The sequence below is a fragment of the Homo sapiens genome, chromosome 20 (assembly GCF_000001405.40).
Source record: "Homo sapiens chromosome 20, GRCh38.p14 Primary Assembly".
In the NCBI taxonomy this organism is placed as follows: Eukaryota; Metazoa; Chordata; class Mammalia; order Primates; family Hominidae; genus Homo; species Homo sapiens.
The window spans coordinates 59548004-59570314 of record NC_000020.11 but is presented as its reverse complement, the minus strand read 5'-3'; the positions used below and the strand labels follow the sequence as shown (position 1 = coordinate 59570314).

The window sequence follows — 22311 nt, the reverse complement described above, 5'->3', positions numbered from 1 at the left end:
CTTGGAAAGATTGTGCTAAGTGAAAAAAAAATCATAAAAGTCTATATCGTGAATGACACCACTTACATGAAATGTGCAGAAAGCGCCAATCCAAAGAAACATAAAGTAGCTTAATGGTTGCCAAGGGCTGGGGAAGGGGAGGATGGGGAGTGACTGCTTAATGGTTTTCTTTATGGGGTGGTGAAAATGCTGTGGAATCAGATAGTATATGATAGTTACACAGCCTTGTGAATATACTAAAAACCACTGAATTGTATGCTTTAAAATGGTGAATTTAGACTACATAAATTATATCTCAATTAAAAAAAAAGTCATCAATACAGCCACCTGGTTGAGGGTCTACCGTGTGCCAGATGCTTAGAAGTAATCTGTCAACCCTTCCCACCCCAGCAAGCAACTCTGGAAGTTGGGGGGAGAAAAAATCTTACAGGAAGAACACTGAGTCAAGAAAGCTGCAGTGTTTGGTTTGGGAACAGGCTCTACACCTTACAACTTGTGTGAGAAGAAGGCAGGGGTTGGGTAGGGAAAGAAACAGGAGGTCATGGGGCCCCAGAAGCCAATGCTGTGAACCAGTTCCCTTACAACTGATACAGCAAGATAAGGGTGCTTGCTGGAATCTGCCCATCGTCCGTCCATCATCTATTTCCCATCCATTATCCATCCATCCAGCATCCTTCCATCCATCTTCCATCCAACCATCATCCATTCATCCTTGATCTATCCATCCTCTACCCATCATCCATCCGTCCATCCACTTACCCACCCATCTACTCATCCATCCATCATCCATTCATCTCTGATCTATCTATCCTCCATGCATCCATCCATCCATCCATCCATTCATCCATCTGTCCATCCATTCTCTCTCTCTCTCCCCACTCCCTCTCTCCTGCTGCCTTTGTTTCCATCAGCTTTGGTTTCTGTTTCTGACTCTCTCTGTTCTCTCCTCTCTCTGTTTCTGTTCCAGTTTCTCCCTCAGTGTGTGTCCTTCTTGCTCTCCCCGCTGCAGCTGCAGTGATCAGAGGGTGCTTCCCCGCCCCATGGATGGAGTCTTTCATGGCAAAGTGCGGGTGGATGAAATGGTCCCGGTAGTGCAGTGCTTCTTATGGCCTTTCTTCCGTTGTTTTACCTGGACGCCTTTCCTAGGATTTGCTTCCCCACTTTATCTGCCACTGACAAGGGGCTCTACAGGATTTGGGCTGAGAAGAAACAGAGGGGCAGGAATTCTTTCTGGGATTTCCCCAAATCTTGGAATTCAGCCGTTTCTACCGGAGACTCTGCCTGTGCCACCCCCTGCCTGGACGACTCATGGCCCCCTCTCCTGCCAATTCTTTCCCCAAATCTCCCTATATGTCCACTCCTCAGAAAGCCCCTCCCCAGCAGTCTGGGCCAATTATTCTCCCTTGATTTCTGCATCACAGCTCCCTGTGGGTGTCCTTCCGTGAGTTGAAACTGGTCTGTCCCTAGAACCCAGACGTGCTTGCGACACTCCCGTTCCTCACACCTTCAAAGGCTCCGGCCTCAGTTCCCGAGAAACAGAGCCTGAGGCCCAGACACAGGTGACCCTCTGGGGCTAGGGAGTGTGGGCCAGGAGCCAGAGGAAGGGAGGGAAGAGGCAGCCACCACTTCACGGCAAACCAGTTGCTGGATGTCAGGGGCACACATGAGGGTGCAGGGTGAACACATCCTTCATCTCATCATCTGGGACACTCGCTGTTAATGACACCAAGGTGACAGGTATAACCTGGGATTGTCCCAGGCAAACTGAGACATGAGCCACCCTGTGTATGGCGACTCCCTGAGGATGGCCCATCTGGAGGCGGGAAAGGAGGAGGATTTGATGGGAGGCGGCATCCTCCCGTCTCCTGTTGGATGAAGATTTACCCCAGTGGGCCCTGACTCCCCTGACCCTCCTCCACCTGGGCACAGAGCAGGGTCCACAGCAGTTCCTCCGGGATGCCTGGGCAGCAAGGAGTGGCAAGGCACTTCAGGTGAGGGCTGAGCCCCCATAGAGCTCAAAGTCACAGCAGAGGCCGAGACAACAGTTATGAGGCAGAGAGGCTCCAAAACCTCAGTGAGGAGCCATGGCAGGCCCCGCCCACCTGCCCAGCCTCAGGTGTGCTGTGCCTTCGCCACAGATGCCCTATCCCTCCTCCCCTCCCCTGGGTCCTCTCGTTCTGGAGCTTTCAGCCCCACCCCCACTCTACACACACACACACACTCACACGCAATGTACAGTCACACACACTCACATGCACACTCTACACACACACATGCTCACACACTCACACATGCAGTCTCACACACACTCACTCTCACAGTCACACACATGCACACGCACACTCACACACTCTCACTCACACAGTCACACACTCACATGCACACGCACACTCACACACTCACTCTCACACTCATACACACTCTCTCACACACACGCTGCACTGCAGCCACTGGCTCACCTGCCCCTGCAGTGAGCTCAGATCTCGAGGAAGACAGTGGCTGCATCTTATTCCCACTGAGCCCCCGAGCCCAGCAGGGCACCTGGCACACAGCAGGCGCTCAACTCTGTTTGTCAAATGAATGTTGACAGCCAAGTGGCCCCGGTGAGGCATTAATCCAAAGAAGCAGGGCACAGAGATGACATTGGGAAGGGAAGCTGTGGGGAAGGGATGGCAGAGAAGTAGAGAACCTGGAGAGCTGATGAGGGCTGGGACCCCCGGCCCGCGCAGAGTGAGAGCAGTTAGGGCTCAGAGGCCCTGCAGACAGGGGAGACCTGCCTGAGGGGCTTGGCAAGAAATCTGGGGCTTGGATCCTCAGAGCTGCTGGGCCTCCTTCTGGGCCAGGACCCCTGCTGCACAGCCAGGAGAGGGTGCCCGGGACCCAAGTCCCCAGGGCCAGAAACACACATGGATTACAGAGTACCTGCTGCACGCCGTCCCTGAGCCCAGCCCAGGGTGTTTCTGCAGTGGGTCCCCATCGCTGACACCAGCCTGAGACCTGTCATAGAAGATCACAGCTGAGGAATGAGTCCTGATAGCAAATGGGTCCCTCCCCCTAGGCAGGTTCCCACCAAGGAGCCACACTGCCCTGGGGAACATGGAGAAGGGGCGATGGATCGGTGAGTCTGGCCAGGGCAGGGCTGGCAGTGGTCAGAGTCGCACCAGCTCCTCGTCCAGGCAGGGGGAGGACGCCATTCATTAGCATCTGGTTCATGGGTGGGTGGCAAACTTGTCCTGTAAAGGCCACATAGCAAATATTTCAGGCTTTGCAGGCCACGAGGCCGCTGCCCCTATAGTGCCAAAGCAGCCCCAGATAATATGTAAACAAATGGGCGTGGCTGTGTTCCAATAAAACTTTATAAGACTGGTGACTGGACTTGGCCCACAGGTCACAGTTCTGACCCCTGACCTAAAACACGACATCAGTCTTGTGTCAGTTCCATGGTAGCCAGGAGTCAAAGGCTGAGTCAAGTGGATCTGACGAATGCGTGTTGAGGGCCTAGGACGGTCGGTGCCGGGGTGCAGCAGGGAGGAGGGGACAGAGTCCCCGACGGTGGCAAAGACCTCATCACGCTCACCTCTGACACTGACAGCAATACAACAGGGAATCACTGTTCTCTTCTACAATTTATGTTGCTCTTTAAATGGAATATCTGACTCATGGCGTTGATCAGGTGTCCGCCTGTGGTTGCCAGAAAAGTTACAAGAGTTCGAGATGTCTCTGCCAGGGGCTCCTAGACTCAGGAGGAAGATGGAAGAGACTGCCCTCAGATGGACCACAGCGCAGCTTGAAGCAGTGGGAAACAAAGATGGAATTTCTTAAAGTTCTTGTTTCATCTTTTAAGGTCATGAGAGTGTTGCGCTCAGCCCTCTTTGTATTCATATTTAAACAACCCAGGTTAAAAATTATCACTTCCCCTCCCAAGCAGCTGTGTCCCTCAGGGGTGGTCAACATGGCCATGGCCAGCGTGACCGATGGCAGCCCACAAGCCAGGGCCTGCCTATGCTTGGACTCCTGTGATGGGACCCACTTTGGAACAGGGACAGTCGTCAGCCCTGGGACTGCACATTCCCGTTCGCTGGGACAGCCCCTTTGCATGCTTTGCTGTCCAGGGATGACTGTTAACCACACTCCTTTCCCTCTCTAAAGTTTCCTGGTTTGGGTGATCAAGCCTCCCTGGGTGTAAGTGAATGGCTAACAGCAAATCGCCAAGGGAAGGTCTTAGTCGTTCAGAGCCCCTCTCCAGCCTGCACATGTGCCCAGTGCTGAGCTGGACACAGGACCACAGCCTGGCACCAACCTCACACAGGCCCTACGGGGGATGATGCCCACTGAGGAGGGTGGGAGGCTCCATCAGGCACCAGCCTGGCCTGGCCCCATGGCATGGGACCTGGACAATCATGTGACAGGTGGCCCCTGCTGGGCGAGCAGGTTTGTCTCATTTGTTGCCTCTCCTTGTCCATCTCTCTGTCTCGAAGTCTCTGCCTCTTGCTTTGTCTCTCTCTAAGTATCTGTGTGTGTGTGTCTCTGGACTTTGCTCCATATTTCCCTCCCCCTTTCTCTCTGCAGATCTCTGCATCTCTCTAGACTTTATTCCATACATCTCTGTCTCTGTGTCTATGTGTCTCTCTCCGGACTTTGTTCCATATCTCACTGTCTGTGTTTCTCCCTATGTCTCTGTCTCTCTGGATTTTGCTCCATATCTCTCTGTCTCTGTGTCTCTGTCCTTCTGAATGTCTCTGGCTGTCCCTCTGTCTCTCTTTGGACATTGTTCCGTATGTCTCTGTCTCTGTGTCTCCAGCTCTTTCTGTATGTCTCTGTCTCTTCAAATTTTGTTCCATATCTTTCTGTCCCTGTGTCTCTGTCCCTCTGGACTTTGTTCTATATCTCTCTGTCCCTATGTCTCGGTCCCTCTGAATGTCTCAGTCTCTGTATCTTTGTCCCTCTGCATGTCTCTGTCTGCATCTTTGCAGACTTTGTTCCTTGTCTGTTTTTGTTTCTGTTTGTCTCTGTCTCAGCCTGTATGTCTCTGTCTCTGTCTGACTCTGTCTCTCTGTCTCAGCCTGTTTGTCTCTCTCTGTCTCTGTCTCAGCCTGTATCTGTCTGTCCTTGTCTCTCCATCTGTCTCTGTCTCTGTCTCTCCGTCTGTCTCTATCTCTGTCTCTGTCTCCCTCTGTCTGTCTCTGTCTCTCTGTTTCTGTCTGTCCCTTTGTTTGTCTCTGTCTCTGTCTGTCTCCCTCTGTCTGTCTGTCTCTCCATCTGTCTCTGTCTGTCTGTCCCTCTGTCTCTCTGTCTCTGTCTCCCTGTCTGTCTCTGTCCCTCTGTCTCTGTGTCTCTGTCTCTGTCTGTCTCCCTCTGTCTGTCTCTGTCCCTCCGTCTGTCTCCCTCTGTCTGTCTCTGTCTCTCCATCTGTCTCTGTCTCCCTCTGTCTCTGTCTGTCTCTGTCTCTGTCTTTCTGTCTCCCTCTGTCTGTCTCTGTCTCTCTGTCTCTGTCTCTCTGTCTCCGTCTCTGTCTCTCTGTCTCTGTCTCTCTGTCTGTCTCTGTCTCTCCATCTATCTCTGTCTCTGTCTCCCTCTGTCTGTTTCCGTCTCTCTGTCACTGTCTCTCTGTCTGTCTCTGTCTGTCTGTCTCCCTCTGTCTGTCTCTCTCTGTCTGTCTCTGTCTCTCTGTCTCTGTCTGTCTCTGTCTCTCTGGCATGTCTGATCATGCTCTATATTCTCTGTGTCTCGCTGCGTCCCCCTCCCTGTCCACCCTTTTCTCTCCGTGGCTGTGGTAAGAGGCTATGATTCCACATGCTGCATCAGGGCAGGCAGGGGAGGCTGGCTCTGCCCTTGGCCTGGGGGCGGACGCTGCTTTCCCCCCATGCCCGGGGTGTTCCTTGGACTCATCCTCTTCATCTGAGTGGTGGTCGAAGTCCAGAGCTGTGGGCCTGGGCAGGGGACAGAGGGAAGGAGCCGTCCGCATTGTCTCTTGGTGCCATAGGCCCCTCTGGCCCCAGCCCATGGCAGTCTCTGCTGGGCCCAGCCCAGCTCTCCAGCTTCCTGAGACCGGGGAACTCAAGCGCGCCCTGACTCCAACCATCTCCTCAATGGGCCGATCAGCTCCCTCTCAGGTCTGCAGACGGGTCATAGTGTGAGCCTGTCATTTTTCATCAAATTACTTGTGAAGACAGAGGCTGAAACTCTGCCTCCCCCATGTCACTCTTGGGGTCGCCATCTGAGTGGGGTGAAGTCCTCCCAGGTTCTGAAGACCTTGGTGGATCTCAGCATGCGTGTGAATCTTCCGGTCTATTCTATTCTCCATCCTTTATGATTCTGCTAATGTGAAACTTTTTAAAAGGTAAAATGATGACTTTCAAACATCTATAAAATGAACATGTGTCAAAGATCTGTTTTTTTTGTACTCACTAACTAATGAGGAATCCAATAAGGTATTAAAAACCAGTTCAAAGGAGAATCCAAAGGGCAGCCAGTCAGGAATGCTGACATGAATTCGCTCAGTGAAAGTGCAAAATGAGCTTCCGGAGAGGGGCCCAGTGTACCTCCACCAGCCAAGACTCATCCACCTTTCTATGAACCCAGGATAATTTGCACTCCATCCATTTCTACCATGTACAGAGCTGCGAAATAGCTCAGAGACAGTCAAAGGCACAGAAACCCCACCGAATCAGATAACCCAGATGCGGGACTGGAACCCTAGTTCTCCATTGCAATCATTCCCAGTAAGTCTTCCACAGTTTTTCCTAACAGCTTTAACATTTAAAAAACCTGATTTCTTTCGTTCCTTATCCTCACAAATGCTCTCTTTCATTCCAGGGCCTCCTGGACCTGCAGGATCCATGCTCTTGACAGCAGCCATATAACAGAAGGGGCAGCTTCTGCATGGCCAAGTTCACCTTCACCCTCAGCCTTTGCAGACATTGCTAATCAACCAGAGCCTGGGTCCCAGTGAGCCCTGAGGCTGGGTCACAATATTGATGCTGCCATCAATATTGATGGCAATATTGATGGGGGCTTCCCCTGATGGGGGAGCCAAGATGGGGGCTTCCCTTGGCATGGGGGGTGGTCAGCACCCTGTCTCATTCATCTGCTTTCTATATCTGTCCCACCCTGGGTTTCCCCATCCTTCGCCTTCTCCTTCATCTCTCCTCCTCCTGTTCATCTTCTTCTGGTTTACTTTCTTTTAAAAAATGTGGTGAAATACACATAAAATTTACCATCTTAACCATTTTTAGGAATATAGTTCAGCAGTGGTAAGAATATTTACATCATGCAACCATCACCACCATCATTTCCAGAACTGTTTTCATCTTGCAAAACGGAAACTCTACCCATCATTCTCCCTCCTCCCAGCCCCCGGCAACCACCCTGGAACTTTCTGTCTCTATGAGAACTTGACTATGCAAGGGACTTCTTATGAGTGGAATCACACAGTATTTGTCCTTTCGCATCTGGCTTATTTTACTTAGCGTAATGTCCTCAAGTTTCACCCACGGTGTAGCCTGTGTCACAATACCCTTCCGTTTTAAAGCTGAATCGTATTCTGTTGTGTGTACAGGCCACATTTGCTCTGTCTATCCATCCATAGACTCTTGGGCTGCCTCCACCTTTGGGCTATTGTGAATAATGCTGCTCTGAACACGTGTGTACAAATATCTGTTGGAGTCTCTGCCTTCGGTTCTTTCAGGTATGTACCCAGAGGCAGAACTGCCGGAGGCTATGGTAATTCTATTTCTGGTTATTTTGAGGATGCATCATTTTTCATAGCGATGGCACCATTTTACGTTCCCACCAACAGTGCACAAGGGTTCCAATTTCTCCATGTCCTCATCAGCACTTATTTTGTCCTGTCTTGTTTTTATGATAGCCATCCTAATGGATGTGAGGTGGTTATGTTTTTAGATTTTTTTTCATTCTTTTCTGAAATTTTTTGTGGTAAAATATATACAACATAAAATGTGCCATTTTAACCATTTTAAGAGTACAATGCATTGGCATTAAGTACATTTGCAGTGTTGTACAACCATCCCCACCATCCACCTCCAGAACTTTTTCATTAGCCCCTCATCATTAAGCAATAACTCCTTGTTCCCACCTGCCTGGCCCCCAGAACCTCTCTTCCACTTTCTGTTTTCTACCGCCTGTAGCTGCTGCTGGAGATGCTGGTTCCCCCACAGCATCCTGGGGTCTGTGATGGACAAGTGCTGAGTGGCAGCTGTGGTGGTTCCTGTCCCTGGACTGCAGCACAGGTGCTAGAGGTAAACGATGCCAGTGGGAACCTCCTGGCACTGCCTTTTCTTGCTTGAGGCAGAGGTAGGACGATTTCGGCCTGGGGGACAACTTCTGAGCTGTCCTCCTAGAGTCTCTTCCTCCAGCCCTTCCAGTACTTCTGTGAGCACCTAAGCCCCTGTAGTAACTCCCATTCTGTGCAGAACTGGGACATGGTTTCTATTTCTTGCAAGTGAATCTTGCCTGACACTGTCGATTCTGTGTGGGATGAACACTTTTGGTGAGTCATGTCTGCCAGGATGGCACCATCCATATTGCAAACCTGCCTCAAGGCTCACTAGGACCCAGGCTCTGATTGATTAGTGATGTCTGCAAAGGCTGAGGGCAAAAGTGAACTTGGCCATACCAGAACTGTCTCTTCTGTTATATGGCAGTCCTCAAGAGCATGGATTCCTCAGGCAGGCTTCTTGGTTCAAATCCTAGCTCTGCTTCTGACAAGCTGTGCAACTGCAGTTCAGCCACTTAAACTCTCTGAACCTCAGATTCCCTGGCTGTAAAATGAGCACACTTCAACAAGATGAGGCATGTGTGCTGGCTCCAGGGCATCGTGTCCTCACGCCCTTTCTTGTCTCCCCTGTTCTGTTCTGGATGGCAAGGGGGCGGGGCTGCCTTTCCTGCATCAGCTGCTCCTGAAGGCCCTGGCAGGAGGCCGGGATGTTCCCCTACCACCCTTGTTCTGCCCTACACAGCATCTTCAGCAGTGCAGGAAGCAGCCTCCATCCAGTGACCTGGCCCCAGGTTCCCACCACCCCACCTCCACCCTCTGTCCCTCCAGCTGAGGTGTGGCAGCTTGCTGCTTCTCTGCGTCCCTGGGTTTGGCTCACAGCCATGCCACCCCCACTAGCCAGTCCCCTGCCTTAAATGCCCTGTGGGGTAAACACTTGGCCCAGGTACTGTTTCTTGATGGATACCACATGCCAAGCTGATAGCCCCATGCCTGACACACGGCGAAAGCTCACAAAATGGCAGCCCTTGTCATTATGGAGCAAGCAACCCACTGCTGGGCCAGGGGGTCTCAGAGTGGGACCTTAAGTAGCTACACAGCAGGGATATTTGAATGGGTTAAAAAAAGGACACAGAATTCAGAGTAGCTGAAGGGGAGAAGAAAGACACCAAGGAGGAGAAAGACAATAACATTTATCAGAAAAGAAAGGACAACAAAATAGTAGCACGTGAATTACTTGTACTACCCTGAAAAAACTTTTTCGTAGTGGGGAAGCTGTGAATTGTGAAGTCTGTAAGCCTCCCTCTAGTGGCCACCCCAAGTGTTTCAACTGAGAATCTCAGATATTCCCCAAAGAAGAGGACTACAGATGCCTGGGATATAGGTGAGGAGTGTGATAAAACTATTTTATAAATTGCATTATATTTTAAATTTCACTTTAATTTCATATATTCGTCCAAAATATAACCATGTTTTTAAAAATATAAAACACCGTTTTGTTTTACCCTCTACAGGGATAAAACGCCCCATGTTGTTCCTGAGCCCCTCAGGGGACCTTTGGTGACACTCTGGTGCCTGGCCAGGAGGTTCTGAGAGCTCAGTTCCTGGCCCTTCTCTAAGGAAGTGGAGAGGACTTGATTGTGTAGGGTCACCAGATAAAACACAGGGCACCCAGTGAAATCTGAACTTTAGGTACCTAATAAATAACTTTTCAGTATATATCCTATGCAAATATTTGGACTGACTTATACTAAAAAATGTTCATTCTTTATCTGAACTTCAAATTTAACTGGGCGCCCTATATTTTTATTTGCTACATCTGGAAGCTTCATCATGTTATGAGTCCTGGGGGGCCAATGCCACACCCCCGTCCTCTCTTTCCGTTCCTTGGCCTCACCTTTCCCTCTCACCTAAAATTTCTGCCGCTTTGCTGTGTTTTACCCGTCACTGAAAGGCACCTGCATTCCACCTTGGGGAACAATGGGGTGGGGTCCAAACCAACCCACAGTGAGGTTGATGGCCGTGCCGGCTCCTTGAGCCAACTCTAGCAAGGGGTTTCATTGCTCAGGCCAACCCCAGGCCTCCCTAAGCCAAGGGGTCAAAGAGCTAAGGTCATGACCCAGCTGGAGGAAGGGAGGGAACAAGAGCCTCAGTGGACACGAACCTCAGTTCACAAACCAGATATACAAGAAAAAGGACATGGTTATTATGAATCAAGATTGCTTCTCTTCTAAGTCCCTTTCCTGCTGGGAGGGCCGAGACAGAATCCAACACCTCCAGGTCATGTCTATTCAGGGTATTTGCAGAGCCGAGGCATCCAGGATGGCCCTCGCATCCTCTACCTCATCTGGTCTCCAAACTGCCTTCCGGGATGTACCTGCCAGATACAAGGCTCCGCTGCTGCTTCCCATCCATCCCAAGCTTTGGGGGAAACAACTGCCTATGGGCCTTGGACTTTCCATCCTGAATGCTGACAGTCACACCATGTGCCTTCTCCCCGGGGCTTAGGCCACCCCAGGGCTCTGCGCAGGAGCGGAGCGCGGCCCCCTTCCCCTGCACTCCTCCCACAGCAGGCCCCTTCCATCTGAGGGCTGACCTGGTACATGCTGGACCTGGGACAAGGGTCCAATAGAGGCCCACATACGAGAGTCTACATGTTACTTCTAGATCTGGCTCACACACAGCCAAATGCCATATGTTCTGTCCTCCTCCTTTGACCCACTTACCCTCCTGACAATCTGCCAGGCCATGCTGGCCTTTACAGTACTCAGAGACCTCGCAATTCCCAGAGACCTCTCAGTTCCCTGCCAGGACATGGTGGCCCAGGCCAGCCCAGCCTTGTCCCTGCCCCACGCCCTTCCAGACCCCATCCCATGCACACCACCAGGCTTTGTGCACACACCTGTGGACACTTCGGGCCACGGCTTCACTCTCTGCTCACATCCTCCCTGCAGCTAACAGCCAGCACACACTTAAAAATTTAATCACAACACTTTGGGAGTAACAGAAAATGCTTGTTTCATACATGAGGAGAAAAAGGAAGTGAGCATGTATTTATTCTGTGTATAGATATAAAAATGATGTTTGTAGGCTGGTTGCAGTAGCTCACGCCTATAATCCTAGCACTTTGGGAGGCCAAGGTGGGCAGATCATGAGGTGAAGAGATTGAGACCATCCTGGCCAACATGGTGATAAGGGAGGAGACCGCCCCTCATATTATCTTATGCCCAATTTCTGCCTCCAAAGAAAGAAAAAGTAAAAACTAAAAGGCAGAAATGAAATCCACAAGCAGACAGCCCGGCACCACACCCTGGGCCTGGTAGTTAAAAATCAACCCCTGACCTAATTGGTTATATTATCTATAGATTACAGACATTGTATAGAAAAGCACTGTGAAAATCCCTATCCTGTTTTGTTCCAATCTAATAACCGGCGCATGCAGCCCCCAGTCACGTACCCCCTGCTTGCTCGATCGATCACGACTCATCACGTGCACTCCCCTTAGAGTTGTGAGCCCTTAAAAAGCACAGGAATTGCTCACTCGAGGAGCTCGGCTCTTGAGACAGGAGTCTTGCTGATGCCCCCGGCCGAATAAACCCCTTCCTTCTTTAACTCGGTGTCTGAGGAGTTTTGTCTGTGGCTTGTCCTGCTACATTTCTTGGTTCCCTGACCGGGAAGCGAGGTGATTGGTGGATGGTCGAGGCAGCTCCTTAGGCGGCTGAAGTCTGCCCTGTGGAACATCCCTGCGGGGGACTCCGGCCAGCCTGAGCGACGCGGATCCTGAGAGCACTCCCAGATAGGCATTTGCCCCGGTGGACGCCTCGCCAGAGCAGTGTGTGGCAGGCCCCCGTGGAGGATCAACGCAGTGGCTAACACCAGGAAGGAATGGGCACTTGGAGTCTGGACATCTAAAACTTGGTAAGACTAGTCTTTGAAACTTGCCCACTCTGTTTGAGTGGAAGTGTGGCCTGATCACCCATGGCGTGCCTTTATCGACACTTTAGTTTTAGTTTTGGTTTTGACTTGGTTTGAATTGCTTGACAGGACCAGTCTTAGGAACTTGCCCACTCCATTTGAGTGGAAGCGTGGCCTGATCACCCACGGCATGCCTTTTATCGGCACTTTGGTTTTGGTTTTGGTTTTGACTTGGTTTGAATTGCTTGACAGGACTGGTCTTGGGAACTTGCCCACGCCACTTGAGTGGAAGCGTGGCCTGATCACCCATGGCGTGCCTGTACCGGCACTTTGGTTTTTGTTTTTGACTTGACTTGGATTGCTTGATATTTTGGTTTTGGTTTTGACCTGGCTTAGATTTCTGGATACTCTGATTTTGGTTTTGATTTTGGTTTGGTGTAAACTACGAAAGTGCGTGTGTGCCTTTTTTACCCATTGTTTTGTGGTGTGTGTGTGGTGTGAGCGTGATGTTTTGTCTCGAGGAAACATAGGTGAGGCACAAAGTAAGCCCACCCCTCTAGGAACTATGTTGAAAATTTTCAAAAAAAAAAAAAAAGGTCGGGGGGGCGATTTAAGAGAGACTATGGAGTACTATGACACAAGGAAAACTTAAAAACTTTGTGTAAGATAGACTGTCCAGCATTAGAGGTAGGTTGGCCTTTAGAAGGAAGCCTGGACAGGTCCCCTGTTTCAAAGGTATGGCACAAGGTTCCCTGTAAGCCAGGGAACCCAGACCAGCTCCCGTACATAGACACTTGGTTACAGCTGGTTTTAGACCCCCTGCCCCCAACACACAGTGGTTGAGAGAACAGCAGCATAAATGGCTGGCAGAGGCAATGAAAGAGCAGCAGAGAGAGAGAAAGGAAAGAGACAGAGAGGAAGAGATAGACAAAGAAGGAGTCAAGGAGAGAGAGAGAGAGAGGCAGAGAGAGAGAGAAAGAGACAGAGGCAAAAGGAAAGTCAAAGAGAGAGAGAGACAAAGTCAAAAAGAGAAAGAAAGAAAGGTGATTTAACATTAACCACTGAAAATTCCCTTAACCCAGCAGGTTTCCTAACAGGGGATCTAAATCTTAATTACCATACAAAGGTCTGACCAGACCTAGGAGGAACTCCCTTCCGGACAGGACGATTGATGGTTCCTCTCAGGTAATTGATAAAAAAAAAAAAAGCCATCTATACCAATTCTAATTTGGACAAAACAAGGTCTTATTAATATCAAAGGATAAATAAAATCCCAAATTTACAAGGTTTTCAACAAAAGTAAAGTTTGCTAAAAGTTAACAGTGTAACGTGTATTATAGTAACTTCTAATCTTGTGGCCTTAGACAGTCTAGTCCACAGACATAAAAAAAAAGTTCACTTTAGAAAAGAATGGTTATCATCTTCGGAAAAAAAAAAAAAAGAAAAAAATAAAAAAGGGGAGGCAGAGTTTACATAAAAAGAGTATTATATAATAAATTCTTGTCCTGAAATAAATTAACTGGTTATTTAAAGAAAGAAATATTTGTAATAAGTCAGAAAGTTGAGGCATGTCAAAAAAATTGCCTGTAAATAAAATCTTACCTTCTAGCCAAAATTAAAAATTAGATAAATATGTCTACAAGGTTTTATTAAAATTAAGTTTAACATTAGTAACACACTAATATAAAGATAAAATTTAGCTTATCTGGTATAAAAATCATACGAGAAGCATTGTTAAATGTAAAATAGTATTTGGCTTTCTTTAGTCTAAAAACTAATAAAAATAGGTGCTAAAGGAAATCTTTCAGTAAAAAGGCACTAAGGACTATAAAGTCCACCACCAAGGTCCCCACATTTAAAACAAACGGTCAATTTCTTAGAAATTATATACTTAGTTTATCTTCCACTTTCTTTTCTCTCAAAAACTAAAAGTCTTTTAGCACATGTACCACCCCTAGAATTTCCAGTAAACCAGCACCAGCCTGAAGATCACGTTCTCATCAAAAGGTAGAAAGAAGAAAAACTCGAGCCAGCCTGGGAAGGACCTTACCTTGTGCTGCTAACCACCAAGACCGCTGTTCACACAGCAAAGAAAAAAAAAAAAAGAATGGACTTATTACACCCGAGTCAAGAAAACGCCACCCCCTCCAGAGTTGTAGGCCATAGTCCCAGGGGAAAACCCTACCAAACTAAAGCTAAGAAAAATTTAACTCTTTTCATCTATTCTATTACTCTTTTTTCTTTCCTTGTTCTGTTGCTAACCATCTAGTTATTAACATAACCAAGTCAATTTCGCCGCCTCAAACTACTGCATTTAATGTTTGCCTTGTTATACCCTGTGAGGACTTGCCTAGTCAAAGACAGCTCTCTACTTCAGAAACTTACATCTGTCCCTCCTGACTCTCCTCAGACTGGGCGTTAGTAAACTAGGACCATTTAATCCAGGGAGATTTCAATAAAGACCCCAGTGCCAACCAGGAATCTTGCCCCCCGATGTAGAGCTTTCATGCCACAGTTAGTCCAACGTTCTGTAGACCACTAAAGAGCAAGGATGGACTGCCCCAACCAGTTTTTGTAATTTCCTAAAACCATACATTCATTTTACTAGAAGATCATAGAAGTTAAAGACTTAAAACAAACTTTAGCAATTAAGACAGGATACCAAGATGCAAATGGCTGGTTAAAATAGATCAAACATTCCACCTGCACGTTAAACAAAAGCAATTGTTATGCTTGTGCACATGGCAGGCCAGAGGCCCTGATTGTCCCCCTTCCACTAAGGTGGTCCTCCAGTCGACCAGGCATAGGCTGCATAGTAGCTCTTTTCCAGGATTCTACAGCCTGGAGTAATAAGTCATGCCAAGTTCTCTCTGCTATATCCCGAAGTCCGGCACCCTGCGGGTCAGCCCCCGAGGGCCATCCAGCCTCCGTCTCCCAACACTAAGTTCACTTTGTGTCTCTTATGACAACGAGGAAACTTAGTGTTCCTTAGAGACCTGAAAGGATGCAGTGAGCTTAAGAATTTTCAAGAGCTTATCAGTCAGTCAGCCCTTGTTCATCCCTGAGTGGATGTGTAGTAGTATCAATGGTAGACCTTTACTGGGCACTCTGCCGAATAACTGGAGTAGCACTTGTATTTTAGTCCAGTTGGCTATCCCTTTCACCCTGGCATTTCATCAACCAGAAGGAAAAAAAAATAAGACATCGTAAAGCGAGAGAAGCCCCTTATAAGTCTTTCGACTCTCATGTCTATTTAGACGCAATTGGAGTCTCACGAGGAATACCAGATCAATTTAAAGCTTGAAATCAAATAGCTGCAGGATTTAAGTCAATATTTTAGTAGGTGACAGTTAATAAAAATATAGATTAGATAAACTACATCTATTACAACCAACAGCAACAAGGTTTTCATGAGTTAAAAGAAAAACTCATGTCGGCCCCAGCCCTGAGGCTACCTGACCTGACAAAACTCTTTACAATCTATGTGTCAGAAAGAGAAAAAATAGCAGTTAGAGTTTTAACCCAGACTGTAAGGCCCTGGCCAAGGCCAGTGGCCTATCTCTCAAAACAACTAGACAAGGTTTCCAAAGGCTGGCCCCCAGGTCTAAAGGCCCTAGCAGCAACGACCCTGTTAGCACAAGAAGCAGATAAACTAACACTTAGGCAAAACCTAAATATAAAGGCCCCCCCATGTAGTAACTTTAATGACTACCAAAAGACATCATTAGTTAACAAATGCTAGATTAACCAAGTACCAAAGCTTGCTATGTGAAAATCCCCACATAACCATTGAAGTTTGCAACACCCTAAGCCCCACCACCTTGCTCCTGGTATCAGAGAGCCCAGTTGAACATAACTGTGTAGAGGTGTTAGACTCAGTTTATTCTAGCAGGCCCAACCTCCAGAGACCATCCTTAAACATCAGTAGACTGTGAGTGGTACATGGACAGGAGCAGCTTCACCGACCCCTGCAAAATGACTCTGAAGAAGATGAGAAGCCCTGCTCCAGTCACACCCAGAAGCTGACTGGTCCACGCACGGCCGAAGCATAAGAAAACTCATCGCAGGACTCATTTTCCTTAAAATTTGGACTTGTACAGTAAAGACTTCAACTGTCCTTCCTCAGACTGAAGCCTGTTCCCAGTGTATACATCAAGTCACTGAGGTAGGACAAAAAGTTGCTACAGTCCTATTGTTTTATAGTTATTTTAAGTATACTGGAACTCTAAAAAGAACTTGTTTATATAATGTTATTCTATACAAAGTATGTAGCCTAGGAAATGACCAACCTGATGTGTGTTGTGACCCATCTGAGCCTCCCATGGCCACAGTTTTTAAAATAATATTAAAGACTAAGGACTGGTGAAGGCTCATAAACGATACGGTAACGTGTTAACCAAAACAAAAGAAAAAAAGGTGCCCAAACAAGTCACCTTAAAATTTGATGCTTGTGCTGTCATTAATAGTAATAATTAAGAATAAGTTATAGTTTTCTTAATTAGAAAAGAGGCTATATGGCAGAAAATAAGTACATCTGTCATAAATTAAGACTGTGTAGAAATAAATGTAAATACTGGTCTTGTGTCATTTAGGCCACTTAGATAAAACAAAAAAATGAAAAAGATCCAGGCCACCTTCAGAAAGGAAAAAGTGGCCCTTCCTGTACTAAAGGACAATGTAACCCCTTAGAGCTAGTAATAACCAATCCCCTTGATCCTCGCTGGAAGAAAGAGGAGCATGTGACCTTAGGAAGTGACGAGGCCGGACTGGATCCTTGGGTAAATATCTTAGTTCGAGGAGAAGTTTACAAACGTTCTCCTGAGCTGGTGTTTCAAACTTTCTATGATGAACTAAATGTGCCAGTACCAGAAATTCCAGGAAAAACAAGAAATTTGTTTTTGCAATTAGCTGAGTATGTAGCCCAGTCTCTCAATGTCACTTCAATGTTATGTATATGAAGAAACTATAATAAGAGATCAATGGCCATAGGAAGCCCGAGAATTAGTACCTACAGATCCAGTTCCTGATGAATTCTGGACTCAAAAAAATCACCCTGATAGTTTCTAAGTCCTAAAATCCTCAATTATTAGACAATATTGCATAGCTAGAGAAGGAAAAGAATTCATTCACCCTGTAGGACGACTTAGTTGTCTAGGACAGAAACTGTATAATAGTACCACAAAAACAGTCACTTGGTGGAGTTCAAGTCACACAGAGAGAAATCCATTCAGTAAATTTCCAAAGTTGCAAACCGTGTGGACCCACCCAGAGTCCCACTGAGCCTGGACAGCCCCCACTGGATTATACTGAATATGTAGGCATAGAGCTTATGCCAAATTACCTGACCAGTAGGCAGGTAGTTGTGTTATTAGCACTATTAAACCATCTTTCTTCCTATTGCCCATAAAAACAGGCGAACTCCTAGGCTTCCCTGTCTGTACTTCCTGTGAAAAGAAAAGCATAGCTATAGGAAATTAGAAAAATGATAAATGGCCCCCTGAGAGAATCATATGATGTTATAGGCCTGCTACTTAGGCACAAGATGGCTCGTAAAGATACCGGACCCCCATTTACATGATCAACTGAATCATATGATTACAAGCTGTCTTAAAAATAATCACTAATAAAACTGGCAGAGCCTTGACTATTCTGGTCTGGCAAGAAACTCAGATAAGAAATCCTATCTATCAAAATAGATTAGCTCTGCTAGCGGCTGAAGGAGAAGTCTGTAGGAAATTTAACCTTACTAATTGCTGCCTACACATAGATAATCAAAGGCAAGTAGTTGAAGACATAGTTAGAGATATGACAAAACTGGCACATGTGCCCGTGCAAGTGTGGCATAGATTTGATCCTAGGGCCCTGTTTACAAAACAGTTCCCAGCGCTAAGAGGATTTAAAACTCTTATAATAAGAGTTATAATAGTAATAAGAACCTACTTACTGCTCCCTTGTTTGCTACCTGTACTTCTTCAAATGATAAAAAGCTTCATCGCTACCTTAGTTCACCAAAATCCTTCAGCACAAGTGTACTATATGAATCACTATCGATCTGTCTTGCAAGAAGACATGGGTAGTAAAAATGAAAGTGAGAACTCCCACTATTAAGTGAGAGTCTCAAAAGGGGGAGTAAGGGAGGAGACCACCTTCATATTGTCTTATGCCCAATTTCTGCCTCCAAAGAAAGAAAAAGTAAAAACTAAAAGGCAGAAATGAAATTCACAAGCAGACAGCCCGGTGTCGCACCCTGGGCCTGGGAGTTAAAGATCGACCCTGACCTAATCGGTTATGTTATCTATAGATTATAGACATTGCATAGAAAAGCACCATGAAAATCCCTGTCCTGTTTTGTTCCGATCTAATTACTGGGGCATGCAGCCCCCAGTCACGTACCCCCAACTTGCTCAATCGATCATGACTCACTCACATGCACCCCCTTAGAGTTGTGAGCCCTTAAAAAGGACAGGAATTGCTCACTAGAGGAGCTTGGCTCTTGAGACAGGAGCCTTGCTGATGCCCCCGGCCAAATAAACCCCTTCCTTCTTTAACTCAGTGTCTGAGGAGTTTTGTCTGTGGCTTGTCCTGGTACAGTGAAACCCCATCTCTACTAAAAAAAAAAATACAATAATTAGCTGGGCATGGTGGCGCACACCTGTAGTCCCAGGGACTCAGGAGGCTGAGGTAGGAGAATCGCTTGAACCCGGGAGGCGGAGGTTGCAGTGAGCCAAGATCGTGCCACTGCATTCCAGCCTGGGTGACAGGGTAAGACTCTGTCTCAAAAAAAAAAAAAAAAAAAAGTCTGTATATGGAAAAGATTCAAAGCAACATTAAAAACTGAAGTAAGTATTCATGGTGGAATGTTTTCCTTTTCTTATTTTTCTTTTCAATTTTTGTTTTAGGTTCAGGGGGTACATGTGTAGGTTTGTTACATGGGTAAATTGTGTGACAAAGGGGTTTGATGTACAGGTTATTTCATCACCCAGGTAATATGCATAGTACCCGATGATAGTTTTCTGATCCTCACCCTCCCCTCCTCCACCCTCCAGTAGGTCCCAGTGTCTATTGTTCCCTTCTCTGTGTCCATGTGTAGTCAATGTTTAGCTCCCACTTGTAAGTGAGAACATGGAGTATTCGGTTTTCTGTTCCTGCGTCAATTCACTTAGGATAATGGCCTTCACCTCCATTCATGTTGCTGCAAAGGACATGATTTCATTCTTCTCATGGCTGCATAGTATTCCATGGTGCATTGTACCACATTTTCTTTATCCACTCCACCACTGATGGGCATGCAGGTTGATTCCACGTTGTTACTATTGTGAATCATGCTGCAATGAATGTATGCGTGCATATGTCTTTATGGTAGAATGATTTCTATTCCTTTGGGTATATATCCACTAATGAGATTGCTGGGTTAAATGGTAGTTGTGTTTTAAGTTCTTTGGGACATCTCCAAACTGCTTCCCACAGTGGCTGAACTAATTTACGTTCCCACCAGCAGTGTATAAGTGTCTCCATTTCTCCACAACCTCACTAACATCTGTTATTTTTTGACTTTCAATAATAGCCATTCTGACAGGTGTGAGATGGTATCTTATTGTGGTTTTGATTTGCAATTCTCTAATAATTACTAATGTTGAGCATTTTTTCATATGCCTGATGGCCATATGTATGTTTTCTTTTGAGAATTATCTGTTCATGTCCTTTGACCATTTTTTAATGGGGCCATTTGTTTTAGGCTTGTTGATTTAAGTTTCTTACAGATTCTGGGTATTAGATTTGTGTCGGATGCACAGTTTGCAAATATTTTCTCCCATTCTGCAGGTTCTCTGTTTATTCTGTTGATAGTTTCTTTTCCTGTGCAGAAGCTCCTTAGTCTATTTAGGTCCCACTTGTCAGTTTTTGGTTTTGTTGCAATTGATGTTTGAGTCTGTCTTGAAAGCTTTGCCAGGGTCTAAGTCCAGAACAATATCTCCTAAGTTTTCTTCTAAGGTTTTTATCATTTTCGGTTTTACATTTAAGTCTTTAATGCATCTTGAGTTGATTTTTGTATATGGTGTAAGGAAGGAGTCCAGTTTTAATCTTCAGCATGTGGCCAACCAGTTATCCCAGCACCTTTTATTGAATAAGGAGCCCTTTCTCCATTACTTTTTTTTTTTTTTGGTCAGCTTTGTCAAAGATCAGATGGTTGTGGATATGCAGCTTTATTTCTGGGTTATATAACCTGATCCATTGCTCTACATGTCTGTTTTTGTACCACTACCATGCCGTTTCAGTTACTGTAGCCTTGTAGTATAATTTGAAGTCAGGTAGTGTGACACCTCTAGCTTTGTTCTTCTTGCTTAAGATTTTATTGCTTATTTGGGCTCATTTTGGTTCCATGTGAATTTGAGGATAGTTTTTTTCTAATTCTGTAAAAAATGTCATCAGTAGTTTGATAGAACTAGCACTGAATCTGTAAATTGCTTTGGGCCTCATGACCATTTTAACAATATTAATTCTTCCAGTCCATGAGCCATGGAATATTTTTCCATTTGTTCGTGTCATTGCTGATTTCTTTGCAGTGTTTGCATTCAATTCTCTTTCACCTTCCTGGTTAGCTGTAATCCTAGGTATTTTATTCCTTTGGGGGCTATTGTGAATGGGATTGTATTCTTGATTTGGCTCTCAGCTTGGACATTATTCATATATAGAAATGCTACTGATTTTTGTACATTGATTTTATATCCTAAAACTTTGCTGAAGTTGTTTATCATATCCATGATTCTTTGGGCAGAGACTATGGGGTTTTCTAGGTATAGAATCATATCATCTGTGAAGAGAGACAGTTTGACTCCCTCTCCTCCTATTTGGATGCCTTTTGTTTTTTTCTCTTGCCTGATTACAATGGCTAGGAATTCCAGTACTACGTTGAATAGCAGTGATGCGAATGGGCATCCTTGTCCTGTTCTCATAGTTTGTCATAGATGGCTCTTATTATTATTTTGAGGTATGTTCCTTCAATACCTAGTCTGTTGAGGGTTTTTAACATGAAGCATGTTGAATTTCATTGAAAGCCTTTTCTGCATCTTCTGAGATGATCATGAGGCTTTCGTTTTTAGTTCTGTTTATGTGATTGATCACACTTATTGATTGATTTGTGTATGTTGAACCAACCTTGCATCCCAGGAATAAAGCCTACTTGATAGTGGTGGATTAGCTTTTTGATGTGCTGCTGGATTTTGTTTGCTAGTATTTTTTGAGGATTTTTGCACCTCTGTTCATCAGGGATATTGGCCCGAAGTTTTCTTTTTTGTTGTGCCTTTGCCAGGTTTTGGTATCAGAATGATGCTGGCCTCATAGAATGAGCTAGGGAGGAATCCCTTCTCCTCAGTTTTTCAGAATACTTTCAGTAGGATTGGTACCAGCTCTTCTTTATACATCTGGTAGAATTCAGCTATGAATCCATCTGGTCCAGGGCTTTTTCTGGTTGGTAGATTTTTTTTATTACTGATTCAATTTTACTCTTTTTCTTTTTTTTATATTTATATTTATATTTTTATTTTTTTGAGACAGAGTCGCACTGTGTCACCCAGGCTGGAGTGCAGTGGCACAATCTCAGCTCACTGCAACCTCCGCCTCCCAAGTTTAAGTGATTTTCCTGCCTCAGCCTCCCAAGTAACTGGGACTACAGGTGCGTGCCACCATGCCCGGCTAATTTTTGTATTTTTGGTAGAGATGGGGTTTCACCATGTTGGCCAGGTTGTTCTCGAACTCCTGACCTCAAGTGATCCACCCTCCTTGGCCTCCCAAAATGCTGATTCAGTTTTAGAATTCTATATTGATCTGTTCAGGGCTTCAATTTCTTCTTGGTTCAATCTTGGGAGGTTGTATGTTTCTAGGAATTTATTTAATTCTTCTACGTTTTCAGATTTGTGTGCATAGAGGTGTTCAGAATAGTTTCTGAGCATCTTTGGTATTTCTGTGGGGTTGGTGGTAATGTCTGCTTTGTCATTTCTGATTGTGTTTGTCTGGAGTATCTCTCTTTTTTCTTCATTAGTCTAGCCAGCAGTCAATCAATCTTATTTATCTTTCAAAAAAGCAACCTTTGGATTTGTTGATCTTTTGTATGATTTTTGCGTCTCAAAAGCAGAGCAGAGCTGTGGTGCCGTGTGGTCCATGTGCTC

At 46.0% G+C, this 22311-nt stretch overlaps 2 annotated features.

Moving 5' to 3' along the window:
* Nucleotides 1533–2367: an enhancer, noted in NCBI's record as "H3K4me1 hESC enhancer chr20:58143003-58143837 (GRCh37/hg19 assembly coordinates)". NCBI's record gives its function as "activates a minimal SCP1, AML or CMV promoter by ChIP-STARR-seq in naive and primed H9 embryonic stem cells {active_cell/tissue: H9 hESC(naive and primed)}" and the evidence as "EXISTENCE:reporter gene assay evidence [ECO:0000049][PMID:30033119]".
* Nucleotides 12148–12353: a silencer, noted in NCBI's record as "fragment chr20:58133017-58133222 (GRCh37/hg19 assembly coordinates)". NCBI's record gives its function as "represses an EF-1alpha promoter that drives an FKBP-Casp9 reporter gene in an ReSE screen in phorbol 12-myristate 13-acetate-treated (for megakaryocytic differentiation) K562 erythroleukemia cells {active_cell/tissue: K562(+PMA)}" and the evidence as "EXISTENCE:reporter gene assay evidence [ECO:0000049][PMID:32094911]".